The sequence below is a fragment of the Homo sapiens genome, chromosome 2 (assembly GCF_000001405.40).
Source record: "Homo sapiens chromosome 2, GRCh38.p14 Primary Assembly".
In the NCBI taxonomy this organism is placed as follows: domain Eukaryota; kingdom Metazoa; phylum Chordata; class Mammalia; order Primates; family Hominidae; genus Homo; species Homo sapiens.
In genome coordinates, this window is record NC_000002.12 from 109,534,153 (window position 1) to 109,553,273 (window position 19,121).

Below are 19,121 nucleotides of genomic sequence, written 5' to 3' on the forward strand. Positions count from 1 at the left end.
AGTGTGTAAGACTGTCAGAGCCAAGCTATGATGATAAACACCTACACTGTTTCCTCAGAAAGACCTAGAAATGCCTGGTTTTCTCAGCCTGGTATGGAGACAGGTGAGGTGCAATTCTCATCTAGCTCTGCCACTGCCGTCTCAAGTCCTTAGGGCGCTCGGCCTCAGTTCCCTAACCCATCCACCTGCATCCTAGTAGTTCTAGGATCCACCTGTTCTAGTAGGATCACAGGCATTAGAGCAATCTGAAAATTACAAAACTCTTTATAAGCAACTAAGAGCTGGGAGGACAACAGAATAAGCAATATTTATATTTCAGCCAATGCTATTGAAATGTTTAGGAACGGCTGGACACCGTGGCTCACACCTGTAATCCCAGCACTTTGGGAGGCCGAGGTGAGTGGATCACTTGAGGTTAGGAGTTCGAGACCAGCCTGGCCAACACAGAGAAACCCCGTCTCTACTAAAAACACAAAAATTAGCTGGGCGTGATGGCACTGGCCTTTAATCCCAGCTATTCAGGAGGCTGAGGTGGGAGAATCGCTTGAACCTGGGAGGCGGAGGTTGCAGTGAGCTGAGATTGTGCCACTGTACTCCACAGAGTGAAACTCAGTCTCAAAAAAAAAAAAAAAGTTTGGGAGTGAAAGTTGTTTTGTTTTGTTTTGTTTTGTTTTAAGTATTGCTATCACATCACTGAATGGTTTGTTTCTTACCTGACTAGAGCTGGGTAATTTGGGAGAGTGGTGGTGGACATAACCCTGAGAAGGCCCCCTCCCCTCCAGCACTGCTTGTGAGTGCAGGACATCTGCAGGACTCTGGACTCACTCAGCAAGCCCATTTGGCTCTCAACTCACTCAGCCTCTATCAGTGATCGAGTTGACACTTCACCTCCAGGTGCACTGTTTAATTTCTTTCAGAACCCAGATGAGGAAGATGGAGGCTATTAGGCCCCTGGAAAATTCTACCACTTAGGGCACTGGTCAGAAGCGTGGAGAGAGAATGCAAACAATGGACGATGCAGACCAAAAGGAACTACCTAGTGTGTGGACCTCAGTATGCTGGCATTTTCTTCTCCCTTTATCCCTCCTTTATTTCTAAACATTTTGTTGAAGTATAACGTGGCAGAAAAGTGCACATGTACATGGCCAGCTTGATGAATCTTCACAGAACCGTCACCAACACCAAGACCTAAAAATGCACCAGCCCCCAGAGCCCTCCCAACTCCCTCCCAGTCACTATGCCTCCCATGGAATGCACATTCCTCAGACTTCCGGCTTCACACATTTGACACGGGTAGGGCTGTAGCTTGGTGTCCTGTGACTGTACTAGGCCAAGTGGGCTGTTTTGAGTTGTGTAGTTGGCTTCCAACTTCTGGACTTGGGCTAGAAAACTTAGGGTTCAGGGCACAAGCTGCTTTAACTTTGTGGGTGATGCTACCTGTAGGGGCTGTCTCCACAGGTGTGTTTCTGCACAGCCAGGAATGTAAGAAAAGTCTGGCCCTTATGTGATGCTGCTTGGGCCTCAGCAAAGGCACAAGGGCATTTGCATGAGCCCAAGAGAGAGTGGACCTTGAAAGTGGACCTTGACCTTGAACCACAATTAGCATAGGTATGTGGCAGCAGGAGCCTGAGTACACACAAGTAAATGTCAGTGCAGCTGTCAAGGCAGAAGACAGTGGGTGCAACGGAGCCAAGAGCCAAGGACGCAATTTAGGGAGAAGAGAGTCTTTGCACTGGGAATAGAACAGAATTTGGGGCTTTTAAACCTGGCAGCTTCCATGTGGTGTTGAACTTGCAAGTGCACAGAAGTCAAGAATTGAGGTTTGGGAACCTCTGCCTAGATTTCAGATGTATGGAAATACTTGGATGTCCAGGCAGAAGTTGCTGCAGTGGGTGGGGGTGGGGGGGGGGTCTCTCATGGAGAACCTCTGCTAGGGCAGTGTGGAAGAGAAATGTGGGGTCAGAGCCAAACAGAGTCCCTACTGGGGCACTGCCTAGTGGAGCTGTGAGAAAAGGACCACCATCCTCCAGACCCCAGAATGGTAGATCCACTAACAGCTTGCACCATGTGCCTGGAAAAGCTGCAGACACTCAATGCCAGCCCATGAAAGCAGCCACGAGGGAGGATATACCTTGCAAAGCCACAAGGGCAGAGCTGCCCAAGACCATGGGAACCCACCTCTTGCATCACATGACCTGGAGGTGAGACATGAAGTCAAAGGAGATCGTTTTGGAGCTTTAAGATTTGACTGCCCTACTGGATTTCAGACTTGCATGGAGGCCTGTAGCCCCTTTCTTTTGGCCAATTTTCTCGCATTTGGAATGGCTGTATTTACCCAATACCTGTACCCCCGCTATATCTAGGAAGTAAGTAACCTGCTTTTGATTTTACAGGCTCATAGGTGGAAGGGACTTGCCTTGTCTCAGATGAGACTTCAGACTGTGGACTTTTGAGTTAATGCTGAAATGAGTTAAGACTTTGGGGCTGTTGGGAAGGCATGATTGGTTTTGAAATGTGAGGATGTGAGATTTGGGAGGGGCCAGGGATGGAATGATATGGTTTGGCTGTGTCCCCACTGGAAGCTCATCTTGAATTCCTACGTATTGTGGGAGGAAACAGTGGGAGGTAATTGAATCATGGGGACGTCTTTCCTGTGCTGTTCTCATGATAGTAAATAAGTGTCACGAGATCTGATGGCTTTAAAAAGAGGAGTTCCCCTGCACAAGCTCTCTCTTTGCCTGCTGTCATCCATGTAAGATGTGACTTGCTCTTCCTTGCCTTCCACCATGATTGTGAGGCTTCCCCAGCCACATGGAACTGTAAGCCCAATTAAACCTTTCTTTTGTAAATTGCCCAGTCTCGGGTATGTCCTTATCAGCAGCGTGAAAACAGACTAATACACTTGCACTGGCTACAACTTCCAGTAAAATGCTGAATGTAAGGGGATAACTCTGGCCATCCTTGCCTTGTTCCCAAAGAAGAAGGTTTTCAATATTTCACCATTAAGTATGATGCTTGCTATTGGGTTTGGGGGTAGATATCCTTTATCAAAATCAGAAAGTCTCCTTCTAGCCAGTGTTATAAGAGATTTTTCTTGTCAATTTTCTAAGTCTTAAAATGATGCTTTTATTAATATTTTCTGTATCTATGGGGATGACGATGATTTTCCCTTAATGTTTGTAGTATGAATTACATTAATTTCCTAATATTAAAACCACCTAGCATTTCTGGAATAAACCAACATGGACATGAGGTACTATCCTTTTTATATATTCTTGGGTTCCTTTCATTAGCATTTTGTTTAGGATTTTTGCATTTCTGATGAGTGAGACCAGACTATAAATACCCTTTCTCAAATGTCCTTACCAGGCTTTGAAATGAAAAGTCATACTGGTCTTATGAGTTTGGATTTTTTTTTTAACGTGTTCTTGGGGATGCATTAGTTTTCTATTGCTGCCGTAACAAATTACCATAAATTTGGTGGCTTAAAGTAATACAAATGTTTAGGGACAGCTGGGTGCGGTGGCTCACATCTGTAATCTCAGCACTTTGGGAGGCTGGGGCGGGCGGACTGCTTGAACTCAGGAGTTCGAGACAAGCCTGGGCAACGGGGCGAAACCCTGTCTCTACAAAAAATGTAAAACTTAGCCAGTTAGGTGTGGATCTCCACCTGGGACTCCAGCTACTTGGGAGGCTGAGGTGAGAGGATTGCTTGAGCCCAGGAGGCAGAGGTTGCAGTGAGCCACGATTGTGCCACTGCACTCTAGCTCAGGCAAAAGAGCAAGATCCTGTCTCAAAACACACACACACATACACACACACACACAAACACACACACACAAATTTATCTTATGGTTTTGGAGTTTAGAAATCTGACTCACGCCTCACTGGGCTAAAGTCCAGTTGTCAGCAGGGCTGTGTTCCTTCTGGAGGCTCTAGGTGGACATCCTTTTCTTTGGTCCTCCCAGCTCCAGAGGCCACCTCCAGCCACTACCTGGCTTGTGGAAGGAGCCCCTTCCTCCACCCTCCAAGCCAGCAGCATTGTAACTCTCTGACCTGGCTTCAGCTGTCACATCTCCCTCCTGCTCACAACCAGAAAAGGCTCTCGGCTTTCAAGGACCCAACCACACCTAGACAGTCCAGGATCATTTTTCTATCTCAAGGTCTGCAGCCTTAACCACATCTGTGAAGTCCTGTTTGACAGGAAGGGGAACATATTCCCAGGTCCAAGAATAAGGCTGTGGATGTCTCTCAGGGCCATTATTCGCCGACCACAGGGAGAGTTTGTGAAAGACGGGCTTTCTTTAAATGTCTCAAAGGATTCACAAATAAAGTTATCTCAGCCTGACCTTCATGGGAACTTTATGCCGTGTCTTTTATTTTTGAGACAGTCTCACTCTGTCGTCCAGGCCAGAGTGCAGTGGCATGATCTCGGCTTACCACGGCGGCCTCTGCCTCCCAGGTTCAAGCAATTCTCGTGCCTCAGCCTCTGAGTAGCTGAGATTACAGGCATGCACCAACACACCTGGTTAATTTTTTATATTTTTAGTAGAGACGGGGTTTCGCCATGTTGGCCAGGCTGGTCTTGAATTCCTGGTGTGAAGTGAACCACCCCCTCAGATTCCCAAAGTGCTGGAATTACAGGCATGAGCCGCCACAGCTGGCCTGCATTGTCTTTGTTATGAGATTTTCTATTCTTATATTAACACATTAATCTTCTACACAAATTTGTCATTTCCTCTGTATTTTCAAATGTATTGACAAGGTTTTAATGTCTACCACATTTGCAGTGATAATACTTTTTTGTTTTTACTTTTGAAGAAAACAGGTTTGCTGAGGTATTTACATATCATAAACAATATTTTGGCTGGGAGCGGTGGTTCACGCCTGTATTTCCAACACTTTGGGAGGCCAAGGCAGGCGGCTCATGAGGTCAGGAGTTCAAGACCAGCCTGACCAATATGGTGAAACCCCGTCTCTACTAAAAATACAAAAATTAGCTGAGTGTGGTGGTGCCCACCAGTAGTCCCAACTATTCGGAAGGCTGGGGCAGAAGAATCGCTTGAACCCAGGAGGCAGAGGTTGCAGTGAGCCGATATTATGCCACTGCACTCCAGCCTGGGCGACAGAGCAAGACTCTGTCTCAAAAAGAAAAAAAATATTGAGTGCACAGTTCTATGAGTCTTTACAAATGTATGTAGCCATGTGACCACCACAATAAAGAAATGGAATGGAACATTCTACCACCCCAAAAGGTTTCACGTGTACCTTGAAGTCAACCCGTGAAGCCTGGCAACCACAGCTTCTTGTTTTTTGAGGCGGATTCTGTCACCCAGGCTGGGGTGCAGTGGCACGATCTTGGCTCACTGCAACCTCTGCCTCCCAGGTTCAAGCAATTCTTCCACCTCAGCCTCCCAGGTAGCTGAGGCTACAAGCACGTGCCACCATGCCAGGCTAATTTTTGTATTTTTACTAGAGACGGGGTTTCATCACGCTGGCCAGGCTGGTCTTGAACACCCGACCTCAGGTGATCCGCCCACCTTGCCTCCCAAAGTGCTGGGATTACAGGAGTGAGCCACCGTGCCCGGCCGCAACCAGTTTTGTCCCTGTAGTTTTGCTTTGGAAAAAATGTCACATAAATGAAATCATGCTGTATGTAGCCTTCTGCATCTGGCTTGAGAGCATATGATTGGGACTCATCTGTGGTTTTGCATGCACCAGTAGCTTGTTCCCTTTCATTGTATGGATGAACCACAACTTGTTTATGTGTTCACCAGTTGATGGACACTTGGGTTGTTTCGGGTTTTGGCAGATGATGAAGGCTGCCACAAACTTTTAGACAGGTCCTGGTGGGACATGTGTCTTCATTCCTCTTGAGTACACATCTAGGACTGGGATTGCTGGGTTGTATGGTGCTGAGCAAAACAAGTTCCCTTAGAGACAGGAATTTTTTAGCTTTTTATTATTGATTTCTACCTTAACTGTATTATGATCAAGAACATAATCTTTCATTCCTTTAAAAGGTATTAAGGCTTGCTTTATAGTAAAACAGTCAACTCTATGCTCCACATGTGCTCGAGGCATTCCCCGGGTGCACTGTTTTATCTACGCTCACAAGGCCAAGGCTGTTGCTTGTTTTCTTCAAGTCTCCCATATCTGCACTAATTTTCAGTCTGCTTGTCCTATCATACACAAGTGGTATGTTTAAATCTCTCACTAAGTGTGGATCTGTATTTTCCTATACTCCTATCAATCTTTGCTTTAAATATGCTGAAGCTATTATTTTGTACATAGGGATGTATAGTTGAGAACTGCTATTTATTTTACAGGTCTCTCTTCATCTCTAGCAATGCTTTTGGCCTTCAAGTTCTCTTAATATACTGAAAATATGGCCAGGCACAATGGCTCATGCCTGTAATTCTAACACTTTGGGAGGCTGAGGTGGGAGGATCACTTGAGGCCAGGAGTTTGAGACCAGCCTGGGTGAGACTCTGTCTCTACCAAAAAAGGAAAAAAAAAAAAAAATTAGTTGGGCATGGTGATGTGCCTAAGGCAGGAGGACTGCTGGAGACCAGGAGTTTGAGGCTGCAGTGAGCTATAACTGTGCCACTGCACAACAGCTTGAGCAACAGAGCAAGACCCTGTCAAAAAAAAAAAAAAAAGCTACACATTAGCTTTTAGTTAAAATTTGCATGATGTACCTTTTCCCATCTTCTTTTAACCTTTCTCGTCTATAAAGACAAAGTTCTAGACTGTTCTCTTGTAAACTACATACAGCTGCTTTTTAAGGAAACTTATCTAAAAAAATTGAGCATGTAATCCAAGTACTTACTGATACATTTGGGTCTAAATCTACCATATTACTACATGCGTTCTGGTTGTCATACCTGTGCTATTTCCTGCAGTTTCTTACTTTTTTCTGTATTGGCATTTTAAAACCAGTTTTCCTATTAGCCTGGAAGTTACACACATCACCATGTTTCATGGTTACCCTAGAGATGGCAAGAAGCAATTCTGATTTACCTGTGTGACTGGGACTCTTAACCACTTCCCAGTTAATGCAAGAACCTGAGATCCCTCGATTTACCCCATTCCTAACTTTCATGCCACTATTTTCTCATATTTTAATTCACTATGTATTTTCAAGTCTGTAAGACGTTATAATTGCTTTATATGGGCTATTCATTTGGATTTATCCATACAGCTACCATTTTCATTACTATACATTCCTTTCTACATCAGTATTGTTTAAACACTCCTTAGGTGAGTCTATTGTATCTCTAAAGGGTTGGCCTGCCCCGGCCCAGCTCCCCCTGCCTGCCAGTATCTCCTTCCCATAAACCCTGGAGAACACCTAACCTTGTGAGGCCAAGCCTTTCAATGGCTCCCACTGCCTGCCAGACGGGATTTATAAACTTTCCTGGGATTTATAAACCCATTCCTTAACTGCTTCTGAAACCTGGCCCTTACCGGAGCCCCACTCCTTGCTGGTACTCTGATGGTGCTCAGCTACCTTCCAGTGCACACAACATGCTGTGCCTTGTACTAGGAATGCCTCCTTCTTTCATACTCTGGATAAACTGCTCCAGTCCTTCAGGACCAGTCACTTCTTTGGACGGCTCCTTGTGATCTGTGAGAGGCAGACACCCTTTTGAGAGTGCCCTGCTCCAAACCTACTTGGTTGTCCAGCCTGCTCCGGCTGCTCCATGATGCATGGATGACCTGAGTCATGTGTGTGTCCCCATTTCCTGGCCCAATAGGAACACGGGGCTTACACTGAGTTCATCCACAATATAGTGATAATAATCCCTGTAATGCTTTTTCCTTGTGTTGCTTTGAAGTTCAAATCCTAGTCTATGTGAAAGGGCTTTAAAAGTCGGAGGGAGTACGTACCAGGATTAACGGCTGTTAGTTAGAGACAACTGTTTCATAAGCTTAATGGGAAAAATTTTTAACAAAACATGACTAGCTTTATTTTATTCCCAGGAGATTATGCCTCAGTGGATAATTCATTTTCTAATCTTGTGCCTGATGATAAATTAGCTTTGTAAGAAGAAGTCATTAAAAAATTTTTTCTTTGTTGTTCAACTCTTTTAAAATAAAATCTTACATGGAACCCAAATATATGAAATGAATTAAAAATTCACATTGCGGCTGAAGCAGGAGTGAGGCTTTCTCACAGCAGTCATCAGCAGTACAAAACGACCGCCCTGCTGTTAAGTCTAGAGAGTCTCAGGCAGGTTTATTACGTTCTTTTCAACCAGAAACTTGAATAACTGTTTACCATTCCAACAACCTATCTCACACTTCAAAGTACGTTCTTCAGAGTTAAGGAGAGCTGCTTTATAAACAGTATGGTCAAATATAGCCACATATGTAACAAACACTCCCGCAGTGTCATCGAGCCCATCTGTGAACAGTCTGCTCAGCTGGCACTAAGTACCGTGATGCTGGCCTGGCTCTGTACCTCAGGTCACCTACCCTCCAGGACTCCCTGCCTACCAGAACCTGGGTGTCACTGATCTTGCGAAGAAACTTCTGAGCTTGTTCTATGACATGTATAATTTAATTTACTGAAGTTTTAAAAGACTGAGAGACATCTGTGAATTTCAAATGCAAAAATAAAATTTAAAGTATACAGATAAATTGTGCTATGCAAGGTTTTATTTACAACTTAGATGACTCTATGATTGCTCAGAATCTGACACAGACTAATAAGTTTCATTGTCTGAAAATACTCATAAAATACCTCATCTCCAAAATAATTCAAATACATAATTAAATGAACGTTTTTAAAATGAGAGTTTTCAGAAAGGAAAATTAAACACATTTTAGTAAATATATGTTTTATTTGTCAAGAGTAAATGTCAGTTTTATTTAGAATATTCAAGTACAAAAAATGAAAATGTATATATCTATGACTGTTAAGAAATGTTAGAAATCATTAAAATGTTCTGAGAATACCAGTAAGGCACTGAATGCAAATACCACCTGAAATATGAATTATGTGCATTTTTATATCTTTAATATTCAGATGTTCATAGTTATTTTCTTAAAAAGTATTTTTAATAAAATGATTCAACCTTATTATTTTTACCCTGGAAGACAGAGTTTAAACAAGTATGTAATGAAAAGTTTTCCTAATGAAAGCTGTGATACACTCATGCTCAAAGGTACTTTATCCTTAGGAAAAAATAGCTTATATATCTGGATGTTTTAACTTTTAAAGATATTTTGTTTCACCACAGTAATACGTCAGCCATAATAAGGCATAATAAAGCATGAAGTCATCATATTAAATAATCTGACACAAAAGCTTAAGATCATATCACCAATTGGGTAATTGTATAAAAAATTTTTAAGTTCTATAAAACTATTAAGAGGTTAGAGTTTTAGCTCCATAATACATCCCAAAACATATTCCCCAAAATTTTTAGCATATATAAAAAAGGTTCATCTTGGAATATAAATGTAATCAGATAGCCACGATATTAATGGGTTCTGTATTTTCAGTGGCACTGACTTCGCTCTTTGGTATAATGCACTGCAGTGACAATAGCTTGGTAGCAAGAGAAAAGATTTAGATTCATCACAGAACAGCAACTTAAACATTTCTAACAACAGTGAATATATATGAATATATAGGTACAAGCTGAGTATCCCTTATCCAAAATGCTAGGGACCAGAAGTGTTTTGGATTTCAGGTTTGGAATATCTGCATATACACAACGGGACCCGACTCTAATTACATAATTCATGTTTCACATCCACCTTATACATATAGCCTGAAAGTAATTTATACAAAAATTTTGTGCAAGAAACAAAATCTGTTTAAACTGAACCATCAGAAAGCAAAGGTGTCGGGTGGGGAATTTTCCACTTGTGGGGTCAAGTCAGTGCTCAAAAAGATTCAGATTTTGAAGCTTCTGGATTTCAGATTTTTGAATTAGAGATGCTCAACTTGTAGTATCATTCACTCTGGCTTATGTATTGACCTTGTACTTGAAAGTACTTTTCCATAAATATCAGTAACTGTGGCTGTTCACCAAATATAGAAGTGATAAAACAAATAACAGCAAAATCAAAGCACACTTCTAGTTTTTTTTTAATAAAGTTTGCTTGTGATGATGACCTTCTGTGCTCTGGAACTTCTGTTTTACAAAAAATTGGAGCTGGAAAGAAAAAGAACCTTTTGATTGGTACAATTTAAAAAAAATTCAAGTAAAAATTAGCAAACATGCATCTAGTATATTATAGGATATCTGGCCATGGGACTTTGAAAAAGAAAAGAAAAAACCAAAAACACCAAACCATATTTTCTTGAAGATAAATTCTTCTAGAGAGCTCTCAAAAAATATGGGCTTGGTCCTGATTTTGCAAACAACAGCAGGGTTCTCAAGTGGAGCAGGGTGATAATTTTTACAAGGTAAATGTAAATTATCTTTCATATAGGGGAAAAAATGGGAAATCTAATTTTAGTAACACTGGGTTAAGATGAAAGGAAAAAAGGTATTAATAAAAGATCCATTAGCTTTAAAATCCAAAGCATGTTGAAAAGCAGTAATAAATTTATAGTTTATCTTTCTAAATTCAATGCTTGAATAAAATACAGCTTTTATACTATTTATTCTTTCAAAAATAATTGCATGCCTACTATGTACCAGACAACTGCTCTAGGCTCTGGGGATGGCTATATCAATGAACAAGATAAAGATCCATGCCCTTGGAGAGCTTGCATTGAAAGATCATACATGAGAATTCCTTCCTCTTTTCCAAAAAAACAAACAAACAAACAAAAATACCTGTAAAATATATAAGCCAATAAAATCTGCCAAAGTCCTGTGGTTTACTTCTCCATATTTAAAAATTGAAAGCCACCAATGGGCCAAGGTTATGTTTTCCTATTTTAAAGTTGAGTTGCAATATTCTGAAAATGGGTCTGAAATAGATGCAGTGAGAGCATTAAACCAGATGTGTTGCTCTGTGGGGAACATGGGAGCATGCAACGCTGCTAGCACAGAGGTAGCTAGAGTAAACTGAGGCAGAGTCCCCCAAATGAGCATTCTGAATAGAACAAGGCATGATGAATTTCCTCAAGAGCCAAATAGTTAAACCGACAGGGATACTTAAGTGGGAGAAATAAAACAAGGGACACAAAGTACAGAAGGAAATTATCAAAAAGGAAAAATAAACTTATTTTCTAAAACTTGGGTAACTGATTTTAACACATACCCCAAACCTACACGCCTTGCGATTATCATCCACATGCTACTCATGGCTGCCCCCTTGCACTGTGGCCCTCTCTACCTTTCTCTGCGTCTTTACGTCCACCATTGGTTTCACAAGCTCTGACATCAATGCACAGGAGTTCGAATCGACAGCCTGGTTCCCTTATTAAAATAAAAATTCTCACAAAATCAGTATCAGTAGAATTTGTTCTAAAAAACTGAACCTAAGAATTAATTCAATAAAATACTATCTTATGTCTATAATTCCCCAACAAAGGGCACAGCTTTATTTAGACATGAAATTCAAAATAACTCATGGTAGGTCAGCAGCCATTAGCTGTGTACTAGGGCCACGGCTGGGCTATTCAATAAGAGCAGCCATTTTCCCCCAGCTAACTGATCCTTTTCACACTGTGATGTATTTTTATTTTGTTCATTCATTCATTTTGGCAAATACTGAACACATAACATGTGCCAGGTGCTGTTCTGGATGCTGGGGAAACAGCAGTGAACAAGAGGGACAAGGTCTCTCCTCTCCAGGAGCTGACATTTAGTTGGAGAAGGAAGACAAAGCATAAGGAAGCAGAAGTAAGAAGCGCTAGGAAGATCCGACAGGGCAATGTGACAAGTGTGGGCAGGGCTGCCAGGGAGGGTGGCTGGGCCTCTTACTTCTTACGGTCCTTGTCCTTCCTCAGGTTGCTGCCTGTTGCCAGAAAGGACTGGCTGTGAAATATCTCGGAGGTAGCTTTCTTTTTAGAGAAAGCAATTATTTCTTCTTCCAAAAGTCTTCTCTTTTCTTCAAGCTTCATTCTCTCTTCTTGGTGAAGTCTCTTAAGGTGCTCAAATTTGGCCTGTAGCTGGAAACAAAAGTGCAATCCCCACTACTGACACAGCGCGGCAGCAGAGGCACGCTCTCCAGCTCAGCAACACAAAGGCGGACCCCATAGCGCAACACAGAATAACCTACACAGTCAAAATCTTTCTGAAGTCTCAGAAGTTCATAGTTCAAGGAAAAGTTTACATATGGAATTCCCTTGGTAACTTTAATTTAAATGAGTTCCCATGCAAAAATCATAGCTTTATGTACAAAACTATTTTTAAAACATTGTGAACTTTTCCTAGAGTTTTTATTTTCTCGGTGTGTATTTTCCCTACAAAACTTCTTAAAGTCTCTCAAGTCCATGCTCAATAAAAATAAGAGATGCAAAGTATAGAAAGAAATTACCAGAAAGGAAAAAAACAACAACACTATTTTCCAAATAAAATATATGCAGTAAACAGTTATTGAAAACTGTACTAGTAAACATCACTGGAAAGCAAGTGTCAATTGTCAACTATGTCAAGAATGTTAAAACTGTATTCTATTTTTCCATAGTCTTTCAATGTCCTGAGATCTAGGCTTAAAAAAATCCTAAATTCAGAGAAAGCTTTACATATAAAAATACTCATCATAGTAGAATTTACACTATAATAGGAAAAACATTGCCTACATAGCCAATAAAGATAAAGAATAAATTAATGCTAAATACATTTGATGCAGCTGTAGGAGAGCAGAATGTGCAGGACTGTTGAGCTGAGGGCAACTAAGAAGCAGCAGATACAGGAAAGCTCTCTGACCTCCCTTTAGGCGCCTAAAGGCAGGATACAGATGTACAAAGAAAAAAGGTATCCAGCCCCCTTCCCCAACCAGGGAGAACAAAGGTTAACCACCAAAGACAACTTCAGACCCTTTTGGGCCTGGAGACTGGTACCAGACAGCTCTACATTAACTAGCTTTACTGACTAGCCTTCATCTGCCAGCTATGTGCCTTCCTCCAAGTTGCTGCCTCTAGAGACTCCAAGTCCTTTTCCTTTGTCTTGTCATTTCTGTAAAAATTAACTGTTCTTTGTTGAAGATGCTATAGAAGGTAGAATGCAGTCGCCTCTTTGAGAACTACTCATTGACTGTATCACCCCTGTATATGTGAAATATACATGCTAATAAACTTGTTTTTTTTTTTTTTTTTTGGTTAATCTGAAAATAAGGGGTCATTCCAATAAGAACCTATAGGGGTTATTCTTCCCGTATACAACTGTTAAATGAGTTTCAAGAGATTTCTCTTAAGTGAAAAAAGCAGAAGAAAAAATTATTTAAAGAATACAATTCAGCAGTTTTTCACCTCCTTGGGGCTGAAAATCATCTTGATAAACCATATAAAGGGAGCAATGTCACCTTAGATGTCAATTTTGGGGCAGGCCTTTTAATTTATTTTGTTCCACAATTTAAGGAATGCCCTATATGGATCATAGAAGGCATATTTCTCAAAGCTATGAAGGGCATAAAACTCTGGAAACTTACAAATAAAAAGGAAGCTTTAAAACAACTGGGATATACCAAAAGAAAACATCTATCTAACGTTTTTACCATGATGGCTGGCACTGAGTAAGCACTCGATAAATATTAGCCATTGTTAATAACAAAAAATAGGAAACTCAGCTTGCTCCAGCTGCCACCCTGGGTAGTTCTTTCTGTGTCCTGTGCTCTGTTACAGGTGCAAAAGAGAAACCCTTAGCACACATGTGCTGGGGTAACTGTGGGAGCAACGTCTCCCTGAGGATTACTTAGGAGCTATGTCTTTTTCATTTTTATACCCCCAGCACAGCACACAATACTGCTCATAAAAGAATTCTAAAAGATGTAGAAGAACTAGTAATGAGAGGAAATACAGATGAAAGTTATGTGAAGTTCTGCATGCAGTTCAGAGAGACAAGGTCCAAGGAGAATGTAGGTGGACCTGGTTTAATTGTGGCTTACCTCAAAAAAAAAAAAAACTAGGGTCTTAAGCCAGCTCCATAGGAATCAGCTGTGTGCTGTGCCCTCTAACAACACAACCACAGTGTCTAGAATCTACATTTTAAAAGATAACCTTATTTTTGGTCCTCTGATCTGGTTAGGTAAATCTGACATTAACATTTTAGTTCTGGGTAGAAACCTGGCATTCATGCAAACAAAGCAGGACTTGGTGTCTAGAAAAAGACGACATAGCTGGGCGTGATGGCTCATTGAGGTTTACAGGCTCATTGGCTCACGGAGGTTTACACGCATGAGCCACAGCGCCTGGCTATGTTATCTTTTTCTAAGACACCAAGTTGTCTAGAAAGGGGGAGACGTTTGGGAGGCCGAGGTGGGTGGATTGCCTGAGCTCAGGAGTTCAAGACCAGCCTGGGCAACACGGGGAAACCCCGTCTCTACTAAAATACAAAAAATTAACCAGGTGTGGCAGTGTGCGCCTGTAGTCCCAGCTACTCGGGAGGCTGAGACAGGAGAATTGCCTGAAGCCGGGAGGCCGAGGTTGCAGTGAGCCGAGATAGCGCCATTGCACTCCAGCTTGGGCCACAGAGTTAGGCTCCATCTCAAAAAAAAAAAAAAAAAAAAAAAAAAAGACATAATATTTGAGGAAATATTTCACTGAAAATCAGAGACTGAGAGAAGAAACCAGAGAGCTAAACTCTGGTCTAATAAAACTGTTATGTTCCAAATATGGAATAGGTTGTCCTGTGAGCCAGTGACCACCTGATAGGAGAAGTATTCCAAGGGAAACAAGGTTAAAACAGATAATCGATTAAGGCCCTCCTAACATAAGATGCTTTTATTCCAGAGGATGCCTTTTCAGAGAAGCATCAGTTCCTTAGTATTTGCTTATTTAAATGGTTCCTGCTTTTAAAAAAGTTACATGTTAGGTATGTGTGTGTGTTTAAAGGGCACACTCCCCAGATGTCATTCAAATCGGTGGCACAAACAAAGAGTGGCAGTTCTCTGCACACGTGTGCATCGGTGATGTGGGAGAGGAGCAGGAGTGGGACAAAGTCTGGAAAGGAAGCAGCAAGGGCAGGTTTCTATCACATGACTAGAGATAGCTCTCTGGTTACTCAAATGGAGGTTGCATACCTCACATGAATATTAAAATATCTTGAAAGGTCACACAGCACTTTATACATCATTCATGAGGTTGACTAAAAAATTCCAGGAAAACTACAAAGAGGGAAACATTAAACAAGGGGGCAGGGAAGTGTGAATGTGACTGTTATTCACACTGGGTGGCATTTCCAGCTCTGGCTATCAACAACTATTCCATACACATGAAGCATGCATTCATGGTTCCATTATTCACTACGACAGGCAGTTAATTCAAATACATTTTCAAATTCTCAAAAAATTAAAAACAAGGGATCTTTTGTGCTATCAATAGTCACCAATTCTCTTAAGAATATTAAGTCATCAGTATGGTACGATAGTCCCCCCTTTTCCACGGGGGATACATTCCAAGACTCCAGGAGGATGCCTGAAACCACAGGTAGTACCATACCCTATGTTTTTTCCTATATATAGACACCTATAGTAAAGTTAAGGCACAGTGTTGAGACTAACAATAATAATTAATAATAAAATAGAACAATTATAACAATGTATGTAATAAAAGTTGTGTGAATGTGGTCTCTTTCTCTCTCAAAATATCTTATTGTAGTATTTTCAGACCGTAGTTGACCATGGGTAACTGAAACCTCAGAAAGCCATACTGAGTGTAAAGGGGGACTACTGTACAATGCTGTATCTTTTGTAAACACTACTTTTAAGGACACGACACATTCTCGTACTCAAAGATCCTTTTAAAAGTATCTTTTTTCTTTGGGAGGCCGAGGCAGGCGGATAACGTGAGGTCAGGAGTTCGAGACCAGCCTGACCAACATGGAGAAACCCCATCTCTACTAAAAATACAAAATTAGCTGGGCATGGTGGCACATGCCTATAATCCCAGCTACTCGGGAGGCTGAGGCAGGACAATTGCTTGAACCTGGGAGGCCAAGGTTGCGGTAAGCTGAGATTGCACCATTGTACTCCAGCCTGGGCAACAAAAGCAAGACTCAGTCTCAAAAAACAAAAAAAAAGTATCTTTTTTTTTTTTGTTTTTTGAGACGGATTCTCGCTCTGTTGCCCAGGCTGGAGTGCAGTGGCATAATCTTGGCTCACTGCAACCTCTGCCTCTTGTGTTCAGGCGATTCTCCTGCCTCAACCTCCTGAGTAGCTGGAATTATAGGCATGTTGCCACCATGCCTGGCTAATTTTTGTATTTTTAGTAGAGATGGGGTTTCACCATATTGACCAGGCTGGTCTCAAACTCCTGATCTCAAGTGATCCACCCACCTCGGCCTCCCGAAGTGCTAGGATTGCAGGCGTGAGCCACCACGCCCGGCCCCATTTTTAGAAATTAGAAATAAATGCCAGGGAAAATATTTCTCTCTGCTGAGCTAGCAGATGACTTCCATCTAAACTCTGTGTGGTCCCTTCTGCCCTGCCTGCCTAGAAGTTAGAGCCCAGTCTTTGTGTTCACTTAAAAATTCCCTCAACCAGGGCTCTCGGCTGCCCTCTGTGCAAACCCCTTCTTCGTACCCTGTATTATAAGGCTCCTGTTCTCCTCATGTTCATGGTTGTAACGTAGCTGCATTTTTAAATTGTAAATTACCGAGCATACTTTTTGGAAATACAAGGGGCATAAATGTTAAATGAAAAAATTATTCCAAGATATAGACAGACATATCAAATTGGGTAGTAATAATAATGATGGTCATGTAACCTGAGGGATAAATATAAACTGTACTTTTTCTTAAAGTGGGGAGGGTATATAGGAAATCCGTCTGTCATATGCAACATGCCTCATGAGTTCTTCTAGAATCTTGTCAATAAAGGAATAGGGAAGACAGAACGTCAACGATATTTGGAGACATCATTTGTTCTGTGCATCTCCCCATTCTAGTCATCTAATGTTCACACACTATTATCTAAGCACACATCATTTTACAAAGCTACATATAGAAATATGGATTTATACAAAAGATAAATTAAGGGATATTTGTTTCACAACAATATTGGCAAGGACATATTTAAATAACAGTCCTTTAATATAGAATTAAATAATGTTTTGAGTGGTATCTTTTTATTAGTGAATTGGTAAAACTAAGATTCATGCTATATGAGAAACTCTTGAATAAAAGAAACTAAACAAACATAATACCCATGTACAATATGCAATCTGTGATTGCATCCTGGTTCAAAAACAAAAACAGAAAAATCACCAAATAAAAAGGAACGATTTTGAAAGCCAATCTTGGGGCAACTGGGGAAATCTGAATAAGGACTGAAGATTGGGTGAGATTATGGTATTCCTGTTTTCTTAGGTAAGGGGAAGGACATAGGTATCCTATACTTTCACTTTTCTGTTGTTTGAACTTTTTCCAAATAAAACATCAAAATTCGCATTATAAATAAATTAGTAAACTATTACTTTTACAAAACCATTTCCTGCACAGTTCATTTACATAGCAAGTACTGTAAGTGTATTTGAAATAATAAACTAGCACAATTGGATTACAGATTAACTCTTCAAGAAATCATGTATTTTCAAGAAAATAGCTTTACTCAAAACCTAAATTGCTGCTTCAGAACTAGAAGCAAACAAAACTACAGAAGTTCAGTGATTTTTTTGGTGCCAGGGCTACCCCAAGGTCATCTAGACCAGGGGTCCCCAATCCCCAGGCCGCGGACCAGTACTGGTCCATGGCCTGTTAGGAACTGGGCTACACAGTATAAGGTGAGTGGCGGGCAAACAAGCATTACTGCCTGAGCTCCGCCTACTGTCAGATCAGTGGTGGCATTAGATTCCCACAGGAGCACAAACCCTATTGCAAACTGTGCATGTGAGGGATCTTGGTTGTGCGCTCCTTGTGAGAATCTAATGCCTGATGATCTGAGCTGGAACAGTTTCATCCTGAAACCATCTCCCCTGGTCCGTGGAAAAACTGTCTTCCAGGAAACGGGTCCCTGGTGCCAAAAAGGTTGGGGACCACTGATCTAGACCACCTAACTACATCCTGAGAGACTGAGTTCAAATGGAAAGTAAAGCTACTTCACAGCCTTCACAGATATCCATTTCAGGGCAAACAACCACCCCAGCAACACTCAAAAAAGGCTTTATTAAGCCATAGTAAAAATGTTTATAGCTCATGGTTAAGATACTTCTTAGTAACCTAGTCCATTACAAGCCCTTGGTAAACCATTTCTAATGGAAGAATATTTGCTCAAAAGGCCAAAATTCTCTTTGGTCTCAGTCAAAGGAGTGAGATGACAAAGGGAAGGTCATAGTTTGGGAAGCATCACAGTAAGACGCATACACTGTGTTGCCACTGTGGCTGTGAGGCCCACCACCTTCAGGAGTTGGGCTGTGGCAAATGTGGCTTACCCTGCTAGGCATAAGAAAACATCCAGTCGTGTTTCTTCTTTTAGCCTTGGCACTAACAAAGACAAACCACCACTGAGACTGGTTGAATGAGGCACCTAAAAATTGTATACCGTGGATTCAAGGCATGGATTTCATGAAAGAAAAATGTGTGCACCCAAGAGGGTAGCTGCTGCAGCTTCCAGTTCATTGTAAGAATTTCAACGATTAGTGACTCCATAAATGTACTGCTTTAAAAAAAAAGAAGGCCAAAGTTTTCATTTAATTTCAGGCTATGATTCTAAGTCAATATTCAAATACTATGTGTTGGAAAAGCTACTCTTTAAAGAACAAGTAGCCTACAAAAGAGTCTCAAGCAAATTCTTGGAATAAATCCTCCAAATTAATAGGACATCTAAAAAATAAATGCAAATCACATCAAACCAGCATACTTGCCTCTCTCTCAGCTTCTTTCAATATGGCTTCTTTCTCCTTTACTCGCTGCACAAACATCTGTTTCATTTCTTCTTCCTTCCTCTGACGTTCACCATGGAACTCATGTCTTTTGGCTTCATAGGTCTCTTGAACACTAAAAAGTTATTTGTGTTACTCTCCTGCTAAAAAGTGATATAGGTCGGGTATG

The 19,121-nt window shown here is 41.2% G+C and overlaps 2 protein-coding genes and 1 pseudogene across 36 annotated transcripts in view; 2 read left to right on the top strand and 1 right to left on the bottom strand.

The window, feature by feature from the left end:
- Positions 1-19,121, top strand: part of RANBP2 (RAN binding protein 2) — a 1,122,820-nt gene that overhangs the window by 814,671 nt on the left and 289,028 nt on the right. The window lies entirely within an intron of this gene.
- Positions 8,647-19,121, bottom strand: part of SEPTIN10 (septin 10) — a 71,168-nt gene continuing 60,693 nt past the window's right edge. For 11 of the 35 annotated variants that reach the window (NM_001321506.2, NM_001321505.2, NM_178584.4 and 8 more), the window contains 3 exons: positions 18,935-19,067; positions 11,898-12,085; positions 8,647-10,172 (listed from right to left, as the gene is read on the bottom strand). In NM_001321506.2, the coding sequence (NP_001308435.1) occupies positions 10,157-10,172; positions 11,898-12,085; positions 18,935-19,067 (337 nt within the window). In that variant the 3' untranslated portion in view covers positions 8,647-10,156. Of the gene's footprint in view, positions 12,086-18,934; positions 19,068-19,121 lie in introns of all 35 variants that reach the window. The other 24 variants (XM_011510699.3, XM_011510702.3, XM_011510701.4 and 21 more) reach the window with 5 other exon arrangements.
- RPL37P12 (ribosomal protein L37 pseudogene 12) lies at positions 18,357-18,742 on the top strand (annotated as a pseudogene).